The following is a 13,305-nucleotide window of genomic DNA, read 5'->3' as shown; positions in this document are numbered from 1 at the left end:
CAATTTTATCTGTCAATCTAAAAAATAAATTAATTTAAAAAACATAGGAAGTGGAGCCAAGATGGCCGAATAGGAACAGTTCCAGTCTACAGCTCCCAGCATGAGTGACGCAGAAGACGAGTGATTTCTGCATTTCCAACTGAGGTACCGGGTTCATCTCACTGGGGAGTGTCAGAAAGTGGGTGCAGGACACTGGGTTCAGTGCACCAAGCATGAGCTTAAGCAGGGCGAGGCATCGCCTCACCTGGGAAGCGCAAGGGGTCAGGGAATTCCCTTTCCTAGTCAAAGAAAGGGGTGACAGATGGCACCTGTAACATCAGGTCACTCCCACCCTAATACTGCACTTTTCCAACGGTCTTAGCAAATGGCACAACAGGAGATTTTATATCCCATGCCTGGCTCGGAGGGTCCTACGCCCACGGAGCCTCGCTGATTGCTAGCACAGCAGTCTGAGACCAAACTGCAAGGTGGCAGTGAGGCTGGGGGAGGGGCACCTGCCATTACCGAGGCTTGAGTAGGTAAACAAAGCGGCCAGGAAGCTTGAACTAGGTGGAGCCCACCACAGCTCAAGGAGGCCTGCCTGCCTCTGTAGGCTCCACCTCTGAGGGCAGGGCATAAGCAAACAAAACGCAGCAGAAACCTCTGCAGACTTATATGTCCCTGTTTGACAGCTTTGAAGAGAGTAGTGGTTCTCCCAGCATGCAGCTGGAGATCTGAGAACAGACAGACTGCCTCAAGTGGGTCCCTGAACCCCGAGTAGCCTAACTGGGAGACAGCCCCCAGTAAGGGCAGACTGACACCTCACACGGCTGGGTACTCCTCTGAGACAAAACTTCCAGAGGAATGATCAGGCAGCAACATTTGCTGTTCACCAATATATGCTGTTCTGCAGGCTCCGCTGCTGATACCCAGGCAAACAGGGTCTGGAGTGGACCTCCAGGAAACTCCAACAGACCTGCAGCTGAGGGTCCTGACTGTTAGAAGGAAAACTAACAGAAAGGACATCCACACCAAAACCCCATCTGTACGTCACCATCATCAAAGACCAAAAGTAGATAAAACCACAAAGATGGGGAAAAAACAGAGCAGAAAAACTGGAAACTTTAAAAATCAGAGCGCCTCTCATCCTCCAAAGGAATGCAGCTACTTACCAGCAACGGAACAAAGCTGGACAGAGAATGACTTTGACGAGTTGAGAGAAGAAGGCTTCAGATGATCAAACTACTCTGAGCTAAAGGAAGAAGTTCGAACCCAAGGCAAAGAAGTTAAAAACCTTGAAAAAAAATTAGACGAATGGCTAACTAGAATAACCAATGCAGAGAGGTCCTTAAAGGACCTGATGGAGCTGAAAACCATGGCATGTGAACTACGTGACGAATGCACAAGCCTCAGTAGCCGATTTGATCAACTGGTAGAAAGGGTATCAGTGATGGAAGATCAAATGAATGAAATGAAGCGAGAAGAGAAGTTTAGAGAAAAAAGAATAAAAAGAAACCAACAAAGCCTCCAAGAAATATGGGACTATGTGAAAAGACCAAATCTGTGTCTCACTGGTGTACCTGAAAGTGACGGGGAGAATGGAACCAAGTTGGAAAACACTCTGCAGGATATTATCCAGGAGAACTTCCCCAATCTAGCAAGGCAGGCCAACATTCAAATTCAGGAAATACAGAGAATGCCACAAAGATACTCCTTGAGAAGAGCAACTCCAAGACACATAACTGTCAGGTTCACCAAAGTTGAAATGAAGGAAAAAACGTTAAGGGCAGCCAGAGAGAAAGGTTGGGTTACCCACAAAGGGAAGCCCATCAGACTAACGGCTGATGTCTTGGCAGAAACTCTACAAGCCAGAAGAGAGTGGGGGCCAATACTCAACATTCTTAAAGAAAAGAATTTTCAACCCAGAATTTCATATCCAGCCAAACTAAGCTTCATAAGTGAAGGAGAAATAAAATACTTTACAGACAAACAAATGCTGAGAGATTTTGTCACCAACAAGCCTGCCCTAAAAGAGCTCCTGAAGGAAGCACTAAACATGGAAAGGAAAAACCAGTACCAGCCACTGCAAAAACATGCCAAATCGTAAAGACCATTGAGGCTGGGAAGAAACTGCATCAACTAACGAGCAAAATAACCAGCTAACATCATAAAGACAGGATCAAATTCACACATAACAATATTAATCTTAAATGTAAATGGGCTAAATGCTCCAATTAAAAGACACAGACTGGCAAACTGGATAAAGAGTCAAGACCCATCAGTGTACTGTATTCAGGAAACCCATCTCACATGCAGAGACACACATAGGCTCAAAATAAAGGGATGGAGGAAGATCTACTAAGCAAATGGAAAACAAAAAAAGGCAGGGGTTGCAATCCTAGTCTCTGATGAAACAAACTTTAAACCAACAAAGATCAAAAGAGACAAAGAAGGCCATTACATAATGGCAAAGGGATCAATTCAACAATAAGAGCTAACTATCCTAAATATACGTGCACCCAATACAGGAGCACCCAGATTCACAAAGCAAGTCCTTAGAGAACTACAAAGAGACTTAGACTCCCACACAATAATAATGGGAGACTTTAACACCCCACTGTCAACATTAGACAGATCAACGAGACAGAAAGTTAGCAAGCATACCCAGGAATTGAACTCAGCTCTGCACCAAGCGGACCTAATAGACATCTACAGAACTCTCCACCCCAAATCAACAGAATATACATTCTTTTCAGCACCACATCACACCTATTCCAAAATTGACCGCATAGTGGGAAGTAAAGTACTCCTCAGCAAATGTAAAAGAACAGAAATTATAACAAATTGTCTCTGAGACCACAGTGCAATCAAACTAGAACTCAAGATTAAGAAACTCACTAAAAACCGCTCAACTACATGGAAACTGAACAACCTGCTCCTGAATGACTACTGGGTACATAACGAAATGAAAGCAGAAAGAAAGATGTTCTTTGAAACCAATGAGAACAAAGACACAGCATACCAGAATCTCTGGGACACATTCAAAGCAGTGTGTAGAGGAAAATTTATAGCACTAAATGCCCACAAGAGAAAGCAGAAAAGATCCAAAATTGACACCCTAACATCACAATTAAAAGAACTAGAGAAGCAAGAGCAAACACATTCAAAAGTTAGCAGAAGGCAAGAAATAACTAAGATCAGAACAGAACTGAAGGAAATACAGACATAAAAAACCCTTCAAAAATCAATGAATCCAGGAGCTGGTTTTTTGAAAAAATCAACAAAATTGATAGACTGCTAGCAAGACTAATGAAGAAAAGAGAGAAGAATCAAATAGACGCAATAAAAAATGATAAAGGGGATATCACCACAGATCCCACAGAAATACAAACTACCATCAGAGAATACTATAAACACCTCTACGCAAATAAATTAGAAAATCTAGAAGAAATGGATAAATTCCTCAACACATACGCCCTCCCAAGACTAAACCAGGAAGAAGCTGAATCTCTGAATAGACCAATAACAAGCTCTAAAATTGAGGCAATAATTAATAGCTTACCAACTGAAAAAGTCCAGAACCAGATGGATTCACAGCTGAATTCTACCAGAGGTACAAGGAGCTGGTACCATTCCTTCTGAAACTATTCCAATCAACAGAAAAAGAGGGAATCCTCCCTAACTCATTTTATGAGGCCAGCATCATCCTGATACCAAAGCCTGGCAGAGACACAACAAAAAAAGAGAATTTCAGACCAATATCCCTGATGAACATCGACGCCAAAATCCTCAATAAAATACTGGCAAACCGAATCCAGCAGCACATCAAAAAGCTTATCCACCATGATCAAGTGGGCTTCATCCCTGGGATGCAAGGCTGGTTCCACATACGCACATCAATAAACGTAATCCAGCATATAAACAGAACCAACGACAAAAACCACATGATTATCTCAATAGATGCAGAAAAGGCCTTTGACAAAATTCAACAACCCTTCATGCTAAAAACTCTCAATAAATTAGGTATTGATGGGATGTATCTTGAAATAATAAGAGCTATCTATGACAAACCCACAGCCAATATCATACTGAATGGGCAAAAACTGGAAGCATTCCCTTTGAAAACTGGCACAAGACAGGGATGCCCTCTCTCACCACTCCTATTCAACATAGTGTTGGAAGTTCTGGCCAGGGCAATCAGGCAGGAGAAGTAAATAAAGGGCATTTAATTAGGAAAAGAGGAAGTCAAATTGTCCCTGTTTGCAGATGACATGATTATATATCTAGAAAACCCCATCGTCTCAGCCCAAAATCTCCTTAAGCTGATAGGCAACTTCAGCAAAGTCTCAGGATACAAAATCAATGTGCAAAAATCACAAGCATTCTTATACACCAATAACAGACAAACAGAGAGCCAAATCATGAGTGAACTCCCATTCACAATTGCTTCAAAGAGAATACAATACCTAGGAATCCAACTTACAAGGGATGTGAAGGACCTCTTCAAGGAGAACTACAAACCACTGCTCAATGAAATAAAAGAGGATACAAACAAATGGAAGAACATTCCATGCTCATGCGTAGGAAGAATCAATATTGTGAAAATGGCCATACTGCCCAAGGTAATTTATAGATTCAATGTCATCCCCATGAAGCTACCAATGACTTTCTTCACAGAATTGGAAAAAACTACTTTAAAGTTCATATGGAACCAAAAAAGAGCCCACATTGCCAAGTCAATCCTAAGCCAAAAGAACAAAGCTGGAGGCATCACGCTACCTGACTTCAAACTATACTACAAGGCTACAGTAACCAAAACAGCATGGTACTGGTACCAAAACAGAGATATAGACCAATGGAACAGAACAGAACCCTCAGAAATAACGCCGCATATCTACAACTATCTGATCTTTGACAAACCTGAGAAAAACAAGCAATGGGGAAAGGATTCCCTATTTAATAAATGGTGCTGGGAAAACTGGATAGCCATATGTAGAAAGCTGAAACTGGATCCCTTCCTTACACCTTATACAAAAATTAATTCAAGATAGATTAAAGACTTACATGTTAGACCTAAAACCATAAAAACCCTAGAAGAAAACCTAGGCATTACCATTCAGGATATAGGCATGGGCAAGGACTTCATGTCTAAAACACCAAAAGCAATGGCAACAAAAGCCAAAATTGACAAATGGGATCTAATTAAACTAAAGAGCTTCTGCACAGCAAAAGAAACTACCCTCAGAGTGAACAGGCAACCTACAGAATGGGAGATAATTTTTGCAATCTACTCATCTGACAAAGGGCTAATATCCAGAATCTACAATGAACTCAAACAAATTTACAGAAAAAAACAAACAACCCCATTAACAAGTGGGCAAAAGATATGAACAGACACTTCTCAAAAGAAGACATTTATGCAGCCAACAGACACATGAAAAAATGCTCATCATTACTGGCCATTGGAGAAATGCAAATCAAAACCACAATGAGATATCATCTCACACCAGTAAGACTGGTGATCATTAAAAAGTCAGGAAACAACAGGTGCTGGAGAGGATGTGGAGAAATAGGAACACTTTTACACTGTTGGTGGGAGTGTAAACTAGTCCAACCACTGTGGAAGTCAGTGTGGTGATTCCTCAGGGATCTAGAACTAGAAATACCATTTGACCCAGCCATCCCATTACTGGGTATATACCCAAAGGATTATAAAACATGCTGCTATAAAGACACATGCACATGTATGTTTATTGCAGCACTATTCACAATAGCAAAGACTTGGAACCAATCCAAATGTCCAACAACGATAGACTGGATTAAGAAAATGTGGCACATATACACCATGGAATACTATGCAGCCATAAAAAAGGATGAGTTCATGTCCTTTGTAGGGACATGGATGAAGCTGGAAACCATCATTCTCAGCAAACTATTGCAAGAACAAAAAACCAAACACCGCATGTTCTCACTCATAGGTGGGAATTGAACAATGCGAACTCATGGACACAGGAAGGGGACCATCACACACCGGGGCCTGCTGTGGGGTGGGGGGAGGGGGAGGGATAGCATTAGGAGATATACCTAATGTTAAATGATGAGTTACTGGGTGCAGCACACCAACATGGCACATGTATACACATGTAACTAATCTGCATGTTGTGCACATGTACCCTAAAACTTAAAGTATAATAAAAAAAATAAAAATAAACTATAAAGATTGAAGGATCAAAGACGGATTCATGGAAGAAGAGGCAACTAAATGGGACCTTGAAAGAAAGGTAGGAGGTGTACAGATAAAGGGGAGACAGGCAGTGAGTCTCCATAATAGTCGGGCACTAGAGTGAGCAGCAGGCAGCATGGACACTGGCTATCCATTTTGTACTACATCCAGAATGTTTCCCTGCATCCTGCAAGAAATCCGAGATGATTCCCTGTTTACTCATGTGAGGATTTCGCCAATAATTTCCCATTAACTACAGTGATATTAGCATGCCTCTCTTTTATACAACCACTAACAGATTAGTAAAGATTACTAAAGAAAGAAAGATTACCTCTAACACAAAGTCTGAAGGCCCACACTAATACTCACATGTAAAATGCTTAGTACTTACTAGTCACTTAGTAAGTATTCAATAAATTTCTTTTTTTCTTTTTTTTTTTAAATTTGAGACAGTCTCACTTGGTCACCCACGCTGGAGTGCAGTGGTGCAGTCTCAGCTCACTGCAGCCTTGGCCTCCTGGGTTCAAGGTCAGGAGTTTGAGACCAGCCTGAACAACATGGTGAAACTCTGTCTCTATTAAAAATACAAAAATTAGCCAGGCATGGTGGCACATGCCTGTAGTCCCAGTTACTTGGGAGGCTGAGGCAGGGGAATCGCTTGAACCCAGGAGGCGGAGATTGCACTGAGCTGAGATTACGCCACTGCGCTGCAACCTGCTGAGTGACAGAGCGAGACTCTGTCTGAAGAAAAAAAAAAAATCAATTTGGCAACTATATTCTCATCCCAAACAGCATTAGGATAGATCTGGTTTCAGTAATAACAGTGTTACTCGTTTACTTAAGCATAATCTGCATGTTCTGAAAACAAAACAATATTGAAAAGAAGCAAGAGAATACTTGCCTGTCATTAAGGTAGTCCTGCCTAAGAGAACTGCTCCTAGATGGTTTAATATTGGTTCCTAGCAAAAATTATGATCCATAAGCATTATTTCCCACAGCCATGTGGAAACCATATGGCTTGGACAAGTTATTCTTTAGGCCAGTGTCTGAGAATGAATGAAGATCCTAGGCTTGGGATTCTAACACTGGCAGAGTAGAATCTCTGTCAAGCTGTAAGAGCTGCAGAGAAACACTGAAGAAATGGGTCTGTATAAATTCCCTACAATGGCTGTCTTACAGGGGTATTAGGCTCTGAGGCCCAAATACAGGCTTTCTCTTCCATGTCTATAACACCTTAATGTTTTCAAAAGACTCATATACATTTGCTCATTTAACTCCCCCCCCAATTGTATCACCTTATTATCCCCATTTTGTAAATAACAAAAGCAGACTCACAAATAACTGCTAAAGGCAAATGACCTACACAAAGTGACAGACTGAGAATGTAATCCAGTGAATCTAAGACTTTCCTATTCCAAACCAGGGTTTTCTGCACTTAGAAAACAGGGTTTGCAAAGCGATTTGTATATTCAAAAATAAATGCCTGTTATGCTCTAGAGAATACAGTTGTGAAATGGACAAAATTTTTACCCTTATTACATTTATGTTCTAGCGGAAAAGAAAGAAAATAAGTTAAATATATAATACACTTTCATGCAGTGGCAAGTTTATGCAGAAAACCAAAACACAGTCAAGAATATTATTCTAAAGTAGTAGTATTTCAGCAGACACCTGGATGAAGCGAGAGAACGAGTCATGTGAAACTCTGGGGACGAGCATTCCTGCAGAGGGGAACATGAGCACAAAGGCCCTGACATAGGAAGGAACTTCACCTCTGAAGAAGAGGAAGAAAGCAATATGGCTAAGGTGAGCAATGAGGCATGGGGATGGAGAGAGGTAGGTGGGAGCCTCATTTTGTGAGGCTTTATAGGCTCTCTTTCCCCCACTAAGGCAGAGACTGTGAGTAAGGAGCAAAAGAGACTGACTCGAGAGATATTTGGGGTTTAGCATCAAGGGGACTTGCGGACTTACTCTGTGGAGGGGTGAGGGAGGGGGAGAACCACAGGTTATTCTGACACAAATTCCAGACACAATGTAATTCATAGTGCAGTGTTCTGACTGGGAGAATTACATGATCTTCTTTGTATCCTAGAAGTTCATGCTAGCTTCTATGTGAAGAATGGAATGGCAGTGGGGGTCGGGGGAGGTCTGGCAGGAGGAAGAATGAGTAAGAGTGGCCAACAGGAAGAAGGCAGTAGGATTCTTAAAGGGAAGTATGTGGCATACACCAGGACGGTGAGGTAGAGGTGGTGTGAAGCCTCTATATTTGATATATACTTAGGACAAATCTGACAGGATTTGCTGATTAACTGGATGTGGAATGCAAAAAAAAAAAGAAAGATATTGGGAATAATTCCTCGGCTACTGGCCTGAGACAGAATAATGCCACTTACTAAGAAGGCAAAGGGTAGAAGAATTTGGAGGACAGAGGAGAAAACAAGAGTTATGTTTTGAACAAAAGTAGCTAGGACAGCAAAGCCATGGGATGTAGGACAGGAAGGTCTTACTCTAACTCTTGCCACTTCTAATTTTAGCTGGGCAAACTTGGACAAGTCACTTATACTCATTCAATTTCCTCATCTATGTAATATGGAAATAGCAAAACCACCTCTCAGGATTGACAGAACATGGAAATGAGATGTCCGTGCACATCCTGTAAATTGTAAAGGTGCTGAATCAAGGTCAATTTTCTTGTTTCCTTTGTTATTTCTGGTAAATGTTTAAATGACTCATGACTCATTTAAGCCTCAGGTTGTAAATACAATTATGTCTTAACAGATACCATTATAAAAGACTTACCTTTATTTCATTCACTCTTATTTCACTTGTTTAGCACTTTACGCTTTTAAAGGGTATAAGACAAAATTTACTCTTCTTACTTGTATTTCTTACGTACTATCATTACTTGATTCTTAATACATAGTAGGTACTACTGCTCCTATATGACTGATGAGAAAATTGAGACAGCCAGGTTCTAATGAAAGCCTGATATCCTGGTCTCACTGCCCTTCTCTCTTGGCCTTTAGTCAGAATACTGTGATCCTAGTGTATAATCCATCTGGCATCAAGGCCTGGCCATATTAGAGAAATTTCTCACACATTGAAAGTTAAAGCAATTCCATGATCATTGGTGAAAAAAAATTACTATTCGTTAGATGCAGTACTTAAGGGTTTGTAAAATGTTTTCTTGGTTCTTCCCAACATATGATAAACATGTATTAGCTTTTAGATGTAAGAGGCACTATCAAGACATAGAAGGATTGGCCCACTTTATGCAATGACTTAAAACTGGAAAAATGTAATTGTTCTGCATTGCTTTATATTTAGTAATATTCCTTGTCACTGCCTGATTCATTCATTCATTTAACCAAGATTTGAGTGTCTACTCTGTGCTAGGCAATGTGCTGGGTTGCTTGTTTTACAGTGGTACCACTGCGTTGTTATTACTAAAAATAGGAAAAAAATCACATTATTAAGACAAAAAGAACATAAAACTTATTTATGGTGATATTTTTTAAATGGAATTATGTACATCCAAGTTTTTTTTTTTAATGGCAATTTTTAAAAATATCTGAGCAGCCCTCTCTGGGCCTCCTTTTCCCAGGAATATGTATTACCTTCATTTTCTATACCCCTGATAGCTACACTTTTAATTGCGGTACAAATAAATTACATGAATAATAGCAGAGAAATGTCCTAGAAGTCCCAAAGTATGGTGAAGAGATGATTTCAACTAAGATAATGACTCTACATTTTCTTTATACCCTCTTTCTGCATGTCAGTCATTAGCAACAAGTCCCAACATCTAGTGGAGAAAAAGCAGCATGCATCATAGTATATCTTGAGGAACACCACTTCTAAAGACTTACATTTATGTGATGGGGTTAAGAGTCTTACGGTCAATAAGTGTGGGAATGTCAGGTTAAACAAACTAAACATATTTCATTATCACAAGGCTGCTCAAAGTCTTTATTGCATCATGAAACTTGTGGAGCTCCAAGAAGGTGGCCTTTGGAAACTTACTGGACCATGGAACCCTAGTTTAGAAGAGCAAACTGAGAGCTAAAATAGTGTTTAGTCTAATATATCTAGAAAGCTCTGCATTGGGAGATTTCCATTTACAGCTACAAGTGACATGAATGTTTTAGTAGGCTGCCGATCCTTTAATGTGAGTTGAGCAGACACAGAATAAATATATGCCCCTCAAATGTGGAGGAGAGACCATTCACAATGTGGTAAGCGCCATGAAAACAAGGACTGCATTTGGTTCTGGTTTCTACTATAGCTCCAACATCTAGCACTACCTAGCACATAGTAGACACTTGATCAAATTTGTTTCATAAATGTACAAAGGAATGAATTTTATAGAAATGACAGAAGGCTCATGGAGATTTTGGAATGAGTGGCCACACTGTTTTTCTGTCTTTAATGATTTTAATTTCCATATCTAGACTTTAAGACGGTACTTAATTTATTTTCTTAGAACAAAGGAGTAAGAATTATTCCAACAGCCTTTTGCATCACGACCCTGTATTAATCTAATAAAAGAAAGGTTACACTCCTATTTGTTGATGAACAGCACATTAATGAGATCTTCTTGAAATAATCCCATCTCTATTATGGAGGCAAAATTACATTTTCCAGCATAATTACTGTGTCAGTCAAGCTCCCAAATTTTGATATTAATTTTTTCCCTTGCAAAGGCAATATTAACTTATTAGTTTGTCAAACCTCTGGAAAATCAAGGGTAACCTCATAGTTTTAAATAGTGATTATCAACCTCTACTGCTCTGTTTGTTTGTTTTAGGATGGAGTCTTGCTTCACTGGCCAGGCTGGAGTGCAGTGGCACGATCTCGGCTCACTGCAATCCCGCCTCGCGGTTCAAGCAATTATGGTGCCTCAGCCTCCTGAGTAGGTGGGATTACAGGTGTGTGCAACCATGCCTGGCTAATTTTTGTATTTTTAGTAGAGACGGGGTTTTGCCATGTTGGCCAGGCTGGTCTGGAACTCCTGGCCTCAATCAATTCACCTGCCTAGGCCTCTCAAAGTGCTGGGATTACAGGAGTGAGCTGTAGCACCCGGCCTCTACTGCTCTCTTATTCTTATTCTATCTTTTGTATATCTTCCTACCAGCCAGAAGGACTGGGTAAGTTTTATTTTCTATAACAGATTTTGAAAGAAGGATTAATGAGTCTCCTTAAAATGTGCTTTTAAATTACACATCACTTACCTTCCTTTACCTTTTCTTAAGATTCTATAGCATAAGTTCTTTGAAGGCTGGGACTTTGAATGTTTTCTCTACAGTTATATCCCTAGCACCAAAGACAATGCTAGAATGAAGCAGGTGCTCTAAAAACTCTGCTGAATGAATGCCATGTTTCTCCTCCAACTGAGACTCACTGTTTCAAAGTAAAATATCTGTTTCTGTCTCTCTCTCTCTCTCTAACATACACATACACACACCAAGGAATACAGGGAAGTCTTGCTGTATATTATGGCATTTTTTCCCATGAAAAATACATACATCATGGAAGTTTGGTTCTAACAGATCATTTAGATGAGTTTTGGACAGCCTCTGCATTGCTTAATGTCAACAAACCTCCTCTTCTTCTGAGCTTTACCCCACCTGAGCCATAGAACCAAGTTAGGAAAGAATCATGACTCACATTATTCACCTGATCAGGGCTTGGGACATAGGGCTAATCTTGAGCTATGAGCCTGATAGATCTCAAAAGAAAAGGATATTCTCCAACATTGTTCATTCGGGATATTTTATTTTGCAGCTAACCTTGTTTTACTAGAAAAAATATTTTCCTTTTTATTATAAATTGTTTATATCTGCTTAAGTCTGATTTTGTTGTAGATTGGGACCACGATTTCTCTATAGAATAGTATAGGTTCTATTTTAAAAATACAACCCAATAGGATAAGATTCAGTACATTAACTTACTAGCTCTATGACCTTGGTCAAGGTACTGAACATCTCTGAGTCTGTTATGAGAATATTAATAGCATGTTTTTCCTAAATTGTTTTGAGGATTAAATGAGATAGATAATCATCCATGTGAGTGCTGGCTACTTTCATTAACACAGTCTCTGAAGGGTTGATGGACTAATAGCTATGATGATTAAGTACCTAAACAAGTTCATCACTTCCTCGAGTCCTCCTTTTATTTTCTAACAAGCCACTTTCCCCTATTCGACCCAAAGAAGTAGACACCCACAACAAGTATGCTTTATGGGTCCTATTTTATTACCAAGTATGAATCCCTCCTGCAGAGTTTAGATAGGATTTCTGGGTCACTTCTGGGTGAGTGGTATAATTTCAGGTAGTCATTCATGTGGCCCCCTGTATTTCTTTTCACAGCCTACGTGACAATCTTCTTTCCTCAGGCGATTCCTTAAAAAGACTTGGTTGGCTAGGGATTCAACCCTTCACTTTAGTGTATCAAAAATTCCTAACCTGAGGGAACGAGTGCCAAAAGCTAGTAGCATGCTGGGCTGGAGCATCTGTGCCTGGCCTTTTCATCTATGCAACTTGCCGGTAATTGCTAAGTTTTCCCTCCTGCAACAATTATCCCCCCATTTTTCTCCCTGCCCCGCACCGTACCCCCCAGTTAATTATCAGTTCTGGAATTAAACTGCTTGCCTCTCCTGCTGTTGCCATGGTAACAGTTGGCCTGCACCTGCCACTTGGTGAACAGTGGCTCTTTCAGAAGAGGCAATGGCAGCTGATGGCTCCACAGCCAGTGAGTAAACTAATGTTTACCTGTCTGGGGAGAGAAGTTCCTGTTCATTCCACCTTAGGCACTTTCCTGGCAAGCCCCACCTCAACTTTCTTCTCAGACAAACTGCTTGTTGACATTCAACAAAGAAAATGAAAAAATTTTCTCATAAAAGTACCAAATCCCTGTTGGCTTGTCATAATTCCATCCATCAGCTTTACTTTTTCCTGGCCATGAGGTTGGAAGATATGAATCTTCCATCTTCTGACAAAGGCAGTACAGTATAATAGTTGGAAGCATAGAATTTTAACCCTGATAGATCTGGGTTCTAATCCAGGTTGAGTCACTTTCTAACTGTGTGATCACGGCTTAGTCAC

At 40.4% G+C, this 13,305-nt stretch overlaps 1 protein-coding gene across 2 annotated transcripts in view, besides 1 other annotated feature; it reads right to left on the bottom strand.

The window, feature by feature from the left end:
* Positions 1-13,305, bottom strand: part of TRIM44 (tripartite motif containing 44) — a 155,233-nt gene that overhangs the window by 57,318 nt on the left and 84,610 nt on the right. The gene's annotated exons all lie outside the window — the stretch shown is intronic.
* Positions 7,721-8,222: an enhancer, noted in NCBI's record as "OCT4 hESC enhancer chr11:35774016-35774517 (GRCh37/hg19 assembly coordinates)". NCBI's record gives its function as "activates a minimal SCP1, AML or CMV promoter by ChIP-STARR-seq in naive H9 embryonic stem cells {active_cell/tissue: H9 hESC(naive)}" and the evidence as "EXISTENCE:reporter gene assay evidence [ECO:0000049][PMID:30033119]".

The sequence above is a fragment of the Homo sapiens genome, chromosome 11 (assembly GCF_000001405.40).
Source record: "Homo sapiens chromosome 11, GRCh38.p14 Primary Assembly".
NCBI classification, from domain to species: domain Eukaryota; kingdom Metazoa; phylum Chordata; class Mammalia; order Primates; family Hominidae; genus Homo; species Homo sapiens.
Note: the sequence above shows the minus strand (reverse complement) of the source record. Positions and strands in the feature narration are given on the sequence as shown.